This window comes from Homo sapiens, chromosome 11 (genome assembly GCF_000001405.40).
Source record: "Homo sapiens chromosome 11, GRCh38.p14 Primary Assembly".
Classification (NCBI taxonomy): domain Eukaryota; kingdom Metazoa; phylum Chordata; class Mammalia; order Primates; family Hominidae; genus Homo; species Homo sapiens.
The window spans coordinates 124,370,631-124,382,178 of NC_000011.10; the positions used below are offsets into that span (position 1 = coordinate 124,370,631).

Sequence of the window (11,548 nt, forward strand, 5' to 3'; positions counted from 1 at the left end):
TCAGAGAAATAAAAAACATACATTCGCATAAAACCTTATATATGAATATTTATAGCACCATTGTTTTATAATTGTCAAAATGTAGGAAAAAACACCAAATATCTACCAACTAGTAATTTGGTAAATAAAACGTGGTATATTCACACAATGTAATATTATTCTGCAAAGAAAAAGAGTGGGTAGTGGTGAATGAATGAAGTATCCTTACAAGTTAAAGCATGATACAGCTTGAAAATATATTAAATGAGAAAAAGTAGTCACAAAGACCACATATTTTATTATTTATTTTATAAGAAAGATCCAGACCAAAAAAAAAAAGGCTATTAACATATTTTGACACATTAACATATTTTGAATGGACAAGTGTAACGGTTCAGGTATAAGAATTAAAAGGAGGTGAATCAAAGGGGCACAGGAAAATTCTGAGGGAAATACCTGTGACAATATATGTAGCTATCTAATCTCCTCTAGGTATTTTCTGTCCTGTGTACATTATTTACATGATTCTGTATAATGTTAAAGTCTACCAAATATGTAATGGAAAGAGACTTACAAAAACTCACAAAACTGAAATATATAGCACCTCACTTTCTTAATGCTAAATATACAAATATTTCTTCGGCTGTCATCAAAAGTTGAACTATATAGTGAGTGCACCCAGTCCACTGGCCCTAAATTGGACTAAGCTATTTAACAACTTAACTATCTCATATTGTTGGATTAGGTGTTTGAGACCTAAACAATCACTTGGGGAAAAATGCAGTGAAAAATACTTAATAAAAATGTCTGGCAATGCTTTATGAACTTGGTAGTGATTACATTGACTGCTTTCATTATTCATTTAATTATAAATGAATATTTTGTGAACTTTTCAATGCATATGATAAATTTGTTGATAAAATAAGGAAACAGAGTCTTTTCAATATGTACCACATTAATGTAAATTATTTAAAACCCAAAATACACTTAAAATCAGAATTGTGATGTTTTATTTTTATTAGATAACATTTTCAAATAAAATATCTTCATAATAATCAACAAAAATTGGTGCTTGCTCCTGGAAAGTAATTTTTTCTATCAGGTTTTGTGAATAAAACAACTACTTGTAATTACTGCATGAGAATTCTTAGTAATTATAACTAACAAATATTTACAATCACCACCAACAACAAATTTGAATGTAAAAGTAACAGAATTTAAAATTGTTTTGAAAAAATCAGCCAAATATTTAAAATTGAAATCCCATTCAAATAATGCAAATGGTCTTTTCTTTCATTGACAAATTTTATTTTAAAGCAGTTTGGAACCAAGTTCACTTTTTTACTTAATATTTCCAAATAACAAAGATACCCTAATTTGCAGTAAACTTGTGCATTTTTAGACCAGTCATGCTAACAGATGATACTAACAGAATATATCAGCTGGAAATGGGCAGAAGTATCTGATCTGGGAACAGAGAGTCCAGACCACAGAGAGCAGCACTTAAAGCTGGGCACTGTACTTCTTGGGCACCTGAAAACCCCGTCAGCAAACCCATGGGCCTCTTGTTCACAATAAGCTGTGTCCCCCTCTGCATGTGACAGCTGTAGCTGGTATCCAGGGGTGAAGCATCTCTTTGGTTGGAATTTTAAAGTGGAGCAATGAGTGCTATCTTGTCTCACTGCTCTTGCTCCTGCCAAAGACATGCTGTGCTGTCACATCATACTTCTTTACTCTTGACCACCCAGGAGCCCTTCCCAAGCTAAATCTGCCAAAGCAACCAAACTGAAATTCCCAACCTGGCTATCCTAGGCTCAGTACCTTAACCTCAAACCCCTTTTGCCATTCTATCTGCTGTGCAGTAGTTAGAAAGCTCTGTCCCAATCTATTTTCATAAAGGAGAAAGAATGAGACGTTTGGAAAGAAGTACCTCAAAACCTTTTCATTAATAAGTCAGCCTTGCTGCTATGTCAAATCCAGGACCTGGTAACATTTCAATTCCTTCGGGTGATGAAGTGAACTTGGTTGGTCAATAGGCACCATTTCATGAACCTCAAAATATAATTTCTAACTTAACGTTTTTCCTGAAAGTTAAACCTTGGGATATTGCCATTTTAAGTTAATGCAATATAATCTGTGTTTAAAATATATGTAATTAATATAATTAAGCTTTTATGTAAAAAAGAAAGATTTTATGTGTCTTTAACATATGTTAGTATGTTTTTCCAGTTTGAATTGTGTGCATGGAGAAACTGTGATACAACAAATAAGAAACAAGTATTTGACAATAGCTATATCTTTACCAAATTACACATACAAAGCTTGTAAACATTCAGTAATTGTAAAATAAGCTTATACATTCGAAAGTTATTTTATGTCTAATTTTCTCATTACATTAATTTTTTTTTTTGAGATGGAGTTTCGCTCTTGTTGCCCAGGCTGGAGTGCAACAGAGCCGTCTCGACTCACCACAACCGCTGCCTCCCAGGTTCAAGTGATTCTCCTGCCTCAGCCTCCTGAGTAGCTGGGATTACAGGCATGCACCACCACCCTCGGCTAATTTTGTATTTTTAGTAGAGATGGGGTTTCTCCATGTCAGTCAGGCTGGTCTTGAACGCCTGACCTCAGGTGATCCTCCCACTTCGGCCTCCCAAAGTGCTGGGATTACAGGCATGAGCCACCGCGCCTGGCCTCATTACATTAATTTTAAAAGATAATAGGCTTTAATTTAAACATTAGTTATAAATATTATTAGAAATGGTTTTAATTAAAAAAATCAGTTACACTTGCCAGGTCAACACAAGAAATTCAACCTGTAAAATAAGCCTGTTGACTTCACAGAACTAAGTCAAGCTAGTTGCTGATTCATTTTCCATGAAGGAGTGCTGGTGACTACAATACAGTACTCAGATCACAATGTATATTCTATGCCTGCAATTCACATTTTACTTTTTTGTTAAGTACTGGGTGGTTATAGACATGAATTTTATACACCTTTTTCTATGTCATTAAAACGTGAACTTCTAAAATATGTGCTTTAGAGCAAAATCCAAACCAAACAGTTTTAAGGTTTCTCTTTAACCAGGCACTATAATGAATGTAGGCACAAGAAAGGTAGAAGCAAATACAGACATTCAGACTCTGCTTCAGGAATAAAAGTTTTAAACAAAATTAAGTAAGATAAATATCATAATGAATATAAAAACTTGACTCTTCACTCTAACACCAATAATTTTAATCACATAGAAGTAAAGTACTTAGCCAGAAATATCATCTTCTAAGGCTATTCTCACAAAATGTTTTAGAACTTTTCAAAAATTATGGTATCTGCATAAACATAAAAATTACAATGATAATTAATCATGTCCCCTACCTATGATATATCCTTTGAGGGGCATCTTGCCCTAAGTTCATTCACAGTAGTAATGATGCAGGATTTTTCTCAGCCACTTTGCCAACTGGGGACTTCCATGGCCTGTGACACCCCCTACCCCCTGCCAGGGCCTTGCTCAGCCCGTGTCCTGCTGCTAGAGGCACCCCACCCACTCAGCCTGCCTGTCTTATAGATTGTACCCACATTCAGCAGTTCCTGAGCTCTTGTCCTGTGTCCAAGAAGAACGAGGTTACACTGACAATTCAAAGGGTGAGGATGGGCAGAGAAGAATTTTACTGAGTGAGAGAACAGCTCTCAGCCGAGAGGGGATGTGGGGAGGTGGCCCCCCACCACTGCATTCTGGTGGTTTCTCTCCCAGTGTGGCTGGATCCAGGGATTCTTACGTACTCAGAATGGGGAGTGCATGCTGATTGGTTTGTAAGTACACAAAAAAGATTAAAGCAAAGACACCATTCAAAGGTGGGCAGAAGACGGTGTAGAAAATCAATTGGGAAAGGGTAGGTAAATGTAAAATAGGTGAAGTGTGGGGATCAGAGGAAAGTGCACCAGACAGAAAGACAGGTTCTCAATCCAGTCCATGGGTTTCACTTGTAGCTTGGCTTTCAAGCTTTAAACTGTCTTTGGCTTGAAGGTAGAGTTTCACCGGGGACCTGCCCCTATCTGCCTAGACATTTCTGTCTCCTGCCACTATCAATAGTAGGCAATAGACAGTTTAACTTCTGTGTAGAGCCTGATTTTCTATTCTTTTTGTCATGAGTAACTATTTTTGTTTCTAAATGAAGGCATAATATCTAATAGGGCCTGTACAGTACATACACTACTATGGAAATAGTGACATGCCTTATCAGGAAGGCTTGACCCAAACTCCTCAGCCTCACCATTTAGGAAATTATCACTATTATTAAAAGATCTGGATGAAACATGTCTTTGGAGCTCACCCTGTTTACCCTACCTTAAAATCAAACCTTTGCAGGGGCAAGTTCATTTTTCTAGTTGTGGATCAAAGCCTTGAAGAGCATATCTGTGCTACAGGCATTTTGGCTGAGGGCACCATCATTCCCATACAACCCCCATCTTCCAGCTCATTCTGAAATAACTCCCCAGAAGCCCTCTTTCTTCCCAGACTTCTTTTTTTTTTTTCAATTTATTCGTGGGACGAACAATGGTTTCGAAAATCAGGCTCTGTGTCATTAGCTGTGTGACCCTGAGCAAGTCACATATCATTTCTTCATCTGGAGCACAGGATAAGAAGATCTAAATGTAAAGTGATTTGTTAAAAATGCAGCACACAGCATGGGCCTCGGATTCCATTTTTGATTCTCAGAGGAAAAAAAAGTCAAATTTACATATTAAAAGAATAAATCTCAATCAGGCAAATTTGTGCCATATAATTTTGTTTGCTTTTTAAAAGAAGTATTGGATCTCTTTTTCCAGATAAGAACCCCTGTTACACGGCTAGGTAGACAGAAAATCTTGACACTCATTATACATGGCACTTTATTCTTTTGCCAAGAATATCATTGTAAAACTTTTAATCACAATCACAATCCACAGACATTGTGGACATAAACAAGGTGGTAACAATGTCAGTTCTATTACAACAAAATATAAGTTGACCAATGTATTGTCATTATTGGTAGGATTTGAGAAAGGTGGATAGAGTTGTGAACCTAGTCCGTCTGTAAACATCTGTAAGAACAGAACCTTGGTCCAATAAGGTGTGCAGTTCCATTACAGATGCGAGGCCAGAAATCCAGAATAAGAACCACTCTTAAAAGAACCTTGAAAAATTCTGGAGATTTTTACAACTTTACCTGGTCCACAATTGTTGTCATCCCTTCTCTCTTTTAATGTGGTTATAAATAATAAAACTAATGAAACAAGAAAGGGTTCTATGTAATTGTTTCAGAGAAGGCAAGAAAGAAATGAATTTGTCAGACAGCATCCAACTCTCTGGCGTACCTTTGATGAGGGAGACACGTAAGAAAAAATAGTAGGTAGTGTTATCCTTAGATAGGAAATTATATCAACTCAGCATCTCCACCTGGTATTGTTACTGGCTAATGTTGTGAAGTCCCAAGTTCTTGGTGCCATAAACAAAGAATTGGACATGACACACACGCAAATAGCAAAGCAGCAAGTGGTTTATTAAGCACGGTATGATCCGCAATGGATCAGGCTGACCCGCAAGTGGTATCAGCCCTGGTTTGTTACATTTCATGGCCTTTTACTTGTTTTTTTCCTCACTTGCTTAACCTCACCTTCTCTCCCGTAAATGAATTGCACATCCTTGCCTTTCCCTCACTGTGCCTTAACCTCACCTTATTTCTCATAAGCTAATTGCTCATCCTTGCTTAACCTTACTTTATCTATTCTGACCAAATTGCTCATCTTTACTTTTACTTCTCATGACCAAATTGCTACTACAAGTCCCTCCTACTTACTTCCCTTACATTGCGTGTTCCAACTCACTGCTTACTCCCTTATCTACTTGCTGCTTACGCCCTTATTTCAAATGTTCTATTGCTGCTGTCTTGCAGGTTTTGCTTTTGCTATTGCTTAAGCTAACCTACATCCAACAGGTCCCCTTCACCCCCGACTTCCTCTGCTATTCTCCTGCCTCAGTATGGGGAACAAAGCTCAGGCTTGGGCCACCTTGGGACTAAGGACAACTCTTCTGTCCAAGGATAGACCCACACAGTTACATTGCATAGTGAGAGAAGAAAGGCAGAAACCTTGCCAACACGACTTTAGAAAGAAAGATGGAGAGAAGGCAGAAAAGATTAGGAGGAAGCGGATGAGGAGGAGCAGGAAGAGGAGAGGAAGACTCAGCAATTGGAGAGGGGCTAAGGCAGCACCATTGGCTCTACTCAGTTTGTAATTTTATTTAGGGTTTCCTTTAGAGCAAGTTTGACATCCTTGTTCCTGAGGCTATAAATGAGGGGGTTCAGCATGGGTACCACATTCGTGTAAAACACTGAGAGAAACTTCCCCTGACCCATATACCAATCAGATGATAACTTAACATGAGTGATCAGCCCAAATTCATAGAATAGGCCAACAGTTATTATGTGGGAGCCACAGGTACCGATGGCTTTGAACCAACCCTCGGCTGAGGACATGTGAAGGATATTGAAAAGAATCAAAGCATAAGAGATTAAGATAATGAGGCTTGATACTATAACAACTGTGCCTACAATAACAGACATCACCAGCTCATTGGCCTAGGTGCTGCTGCAGGAGAGCTGGAGCAGTGGGAAGATGTCACACATGTAATGGTTGATGACGTTGGAGTCACAAAAGATGAGCTTCATCATACACTCTGTGTGGACCATGGCCCCAGCAAACCCCATCACATATGAACCAAGCATCAGTAGAGAACAGATCTGAGGGGACGTGGTGACCATGTACAGAAGGGGTTTGCAGATGGCCACATAGCGATCATAGGCCATGGCTGTCAGCACATAGCACTCAGAGTGGACAAAAAAGCAGAAGAAAAAGAGCTGAGTTATGCATCCTGGAAAGGAGATGATGTTCCTCTCTGAAATAAAGCTCATCAGCATTTTGGGGGTAAAGACAAATGAATAACAGAGATCAATGAAGGACAGATTGAAAAGGAAAAAATACATGGGAGTGTGAAGGTGTGAATTCAGGCAAATTAGATTAATTAAACTCAAGTTGCCCACCATGGTGGTCATATAGTTCACCAAGAACAGGAAAAACAGGGGCAATTAGATCTCAGGCTGGTCTGTTAATCCCAAAAGAATAAACTCTTGTCACTGAAGAGTCATTTTCCACAGCCATTAACTTGCTGGGTGTGATCTGTAGGAACAGGTGTAGAAAACATTAATAATGGATCCTCACTCTTTATCTCCAGAGGGAGAGCTGAATCTCCTGGTTTACAAACCCAGGGATGTCTGAAGACACATAGCAAGGCATCCAAGGCTTAATATTTTCTATGATGATACCTGAGAATTTCCTTTTCCTGCTCTTCTCCCCCATCATGTTTTGTGTCTGTCAGTGAGAATGCTGGTAGACCTCCCAATGTGTCTGCACATTATTCCCTCTCTTCTCCTCAAACTTCTCTAAGGATTAAAGCTGGAAAAAGCAATGAATTGATGGTATTCCCCCAGAATCTTTGATTTATATAGTTTTGAGTTTGAACGGAAATTATCAAGACAAAAGTGATTCAATGCTTACCTTTCTATCCTTGGAGGACTAACTGCTGCAGGACCTTCAGGGTCCTTCCTCCCCACTGTCCTGAGAGGGTCAAAGTTGCTGATGATGAAGGAGGTAATTGCCAACAGCACAGACCTCCATCTTCGACATGCTAGAAGAGGTATTCTAGGGAATATGCCATAATATCTGTCTGAGAATTTTCCCAGACGGTTCTCTCCTCCTGCATGCAGGAAAACAACCACCTTATAGGAGCCTCCTAAAGTCAGATGAATCAAATAAAAATCTATTTCATGTCGCATAGTTCTGGGAAAGTTGACTAGAAGCACAAAAAATTATTATCTGTTTTATGATTTCCTCCCAAGTTTAATGAGCCCCTCAAGGGTAGATATTACCAAACCTGTGTTTACAACTTGTGTCACAGATCCAGCATTGGCTCCTTTGGGACTCAGTGTTCCACTCAGTTCATAATTTGGCATCAAGAAGTCCTAATCCCCACTGCAGAAGGACGAGCTCCTCCCTTTGTAATCATTCCCTGGAGTCTATGCACAATTCTACAGGGGAAATGTCCAGGGCACAGTCACTTGCCATTTCTGCTACCTTCCTACAAGACCCCTGGATTGTGTTAATAAAATATTAGATCATACCCTTAACACTATACATGCTTGTGGATTCCACCTCAATAGAGATGTAGCAAAATGGTTGAGGGAATGGGAGCAGGCCCTCAAGTCAGGCTGAGTTTACATCCAGGCCTCTTAACTTTCTCTGAGACCTCAGACAAGTGATAGAACTTCTCTGCCCCTTATGTATGTATATTTGTATCTATATAACCTATGCATATCTACAAACTAAGGCTAATTTTAAAAAGCTATCTCATAGCGTTTTGTGGGAATTACATGAGTTAATTCACATAAAGTGTTAGAAATGTGCCTGACACATAATAAGAACCTGATAGGTGTTGGCACCCCTGCCCCTGTTACTCATCCATATATATAAAAATCAGGATTTATTGATCTTGGTACTTTTTACATTTTGGATAAGTTTTGGTTGTGGGGCTGTCCTGTGTAGCACAGGACTCACAGCACAGCATCCCTGACCTCACCCATTAGATGCCAGTGATATTCCCCCTACCATACAGACACACCAATCACTAAATCAAAATATTCTCCATTGTCAGACATCACCTGGGGAGCAACATTGCCCATATTTGAGAATCGCTGCTCTGTCTGTATAGCCTGGACTTCTGCCATAACTGTTTTTCAGAAAGTTCTACTTTATGTCTATTTATGTGTCTCAAGTTCAAAGTGCTCCAAATTGAATTCAGTGTTTTCTTAGGCTTCCCAGGGCTGCTCCTTCTCAGGTCATCATTTTATAAATTATTTTTACCACCGTCTGGGCATATAATCCACAAAGTAAACTTAAGCACCTCCTTCTCCCTTACTATCTCTTCCAGTCTCCAAGTCCCAGAGAATCCACCTCTTTGAATGATCTGGACTTTCTCTCAATTCTACAGCTTTCACAGTCCCTCTTCATCTCAAATTTGGATTACTCTAATGGTTTTCTAACTTAGACTCCTTAAAGGTGAGAATTTGGACCTTTCAGGTCTATCACCACCACTGAAAACACACACACACCTCCTCTTCCTGGCCCCCAGTACCAATTCCTACCAATAGGATTATAATTATAAATTCGGTTGTAACAATATTCCTCTGTTACATTATTAAGCCTATTTTTAAACACTATTCACAAAAAATTCATCAAGTACTGTAATTGTTTGTCTTTTTTTCCTATAATTCCATATATTTTTTCTTATTTCTTTATATATTCTTACCCTTTTTTTTTTTTTGTAAATCTCTTCTCAGTACATGCCGTCATGTAGATTCAACTTCATATTTTTTTATTTACTTTTTTTTTAGACACAGTCTCACTCTGTCACCCAGGCTGGAGTGCAGTGTTGTGATCTCACCTCCCTGCCACCTCCACCTCCCAGGTTCAAGTGATCCTCCTGCCTCAGCCTCCCACGTATCTGGTATTACAGGTGTGTGCCACCACACGCATCTAATTTTTGTATTTTTAGTGGAGACGGGGTTTCACCATGTTGGCCAGGCTAGTCTTGAACTCCTGACCTGAGGTTATCCACCCACCTTGGCCTTCCAAAGTGCTGGGATTACAGGCGTGAGTCTCTATTCTATCCCATGGACTTGTTCACCTGACTTTATAACAAAACCAATCTGCCTTGATTGTCACGGCCTTATACTAATTTTTAAAATCAGCTAATGTAAGTCTTCTTTGCCATTTAGGGTCCCTTAAGTAGGAGATGTCAAGAAATGATAAGACTTGCAACACATATTTTGTTATAAATGCCTATTAAGGATAAAACTGGAGGGAGCAAGAGTCAGCGATGAAGGCCTCAGACCAGGATGAAAGTCACCTACGAAAGGAGAAAAAAATGGAAAGATCGGTTAGGAAAATCTCAGACCATAGAGCAGTTCTAAAAAGTCTTGGTCAGGAGGATAGGAAGTCTCTAAACAAAGATTTCCTATCAGAAAAGACATATGTTAGATGGAAATTGCCAGCTCTCTTTAAGTCCCACCCACCCTGCTGAGTCATTGGTGGAGGGCATCTCAGAGTAAGAATGGACTCTGCCTAAACACCATGGTGGATCCAAAGAAGTGCAGCTATAGACTTTCAGTCAGCTATGCACCCCACTGCTGGGTCTCTTCATGGGGAGCTGAGCTGTTCTTCTCTGAGACTACCACACTCCACCTCCAAAAATATAAATTAAACCCCAAAGCTGTTCAGATTTATAATTGTCATTATTTTTGTATGTTATTAATTATTAATTAAAATAATACATTTATTATTGGTGTAAGAAGCAAGGTACTCCAATTCAGCCAGGCACAGTGGCTCACACCTGTAATCCCAGCACTTTGGGAGGATGAAGCAGGAAGATTGTTTGAGGCCAGGAGTTAAATTTTTTTCTCCAAATATTTAAAAATTAGGGAGGCATGATGGTGTGTGCATGTACTCCCAGCTACACAGGATGCTGAAGAAGTCCTCTACCTCATGCTGTACACAAAAGTTAATCTAAAAATGGACCAAAACCATACACACACAAAAAACTTAAACTATAGGCTGAAGTGGAAGAATTACTTGAGCCCGGGAGTTGGAGGCTGCAGTAAGCTATGATCGAATCACTGCACTCCTATCTGGGTGACAACCTTTATATAAAATGTGTTTCATGTCTTATTGGTGAGATAAAGTTTAAGTAGGCTCACAAAATATTTGTAGAAATATAGTTTATTAATATTAATATACATTCCTTATGATAAACCACACTGGATAAGGAAAATGTTGTATAAAATATTTCTACTAACAATGTGCAGTATTTACCTATAATGAGTAAAAAATAACATTTACAGTAGGAACTACATGCTTTTTTTCAAAATTTTCAGTGCTGTTTTAGACAGTAATAAATGAAGTTTTATAATGTAAACTATATTCCCCCTTATTGGAATCCTGAGGTGCACATGTATTATTTCTCTAATCATCCTCTGTTAATGCTGCCTTTGGCAATAAAAGGTGGAGATACACATATTCTCTGCTGTATCAAATGGACTGGAATGATAGAGGTTCTCAAAAGCAAACGGCATGTGGTACAAATTTTGCCATTCTCAAAGGGAACAAGAAAAGTCAGAATAATAAAAGGCAAAATGGTGACAACATAGAACAAAAGGACAAGATCAAGGGGAACTGATTCTGCTTTAAATTACCTACCATTTGTAGTGGATATATTTCATCAAATCCAGCTGCCTATATCTGTAACAATGTTGATAAAAATAAGAATGCTTCTATCATATTTGGCACTTCTGTGTTTAGGTGAGAAAGCTGTGACTTTGACATTTTTATAATTCATGAAATTTACCACATTTTTCCAATTAAGAATAGCCCAGGAGAGAGGAAAGGTAGAAAATGATGAAGAAAAATATCAGTGCATAT

At 38.6% G+C, this 11,548-nt stretch overlaps 1 pseudogene; it reads right to left on the minus strand.

The window, feature by feature from the left end:
- OR8C1P (olfactory receptor family 8 subfamily C member 1 pseudogene) lies at positions 6,311 to 6,985 on the minus strand (annotated as a pseudogene).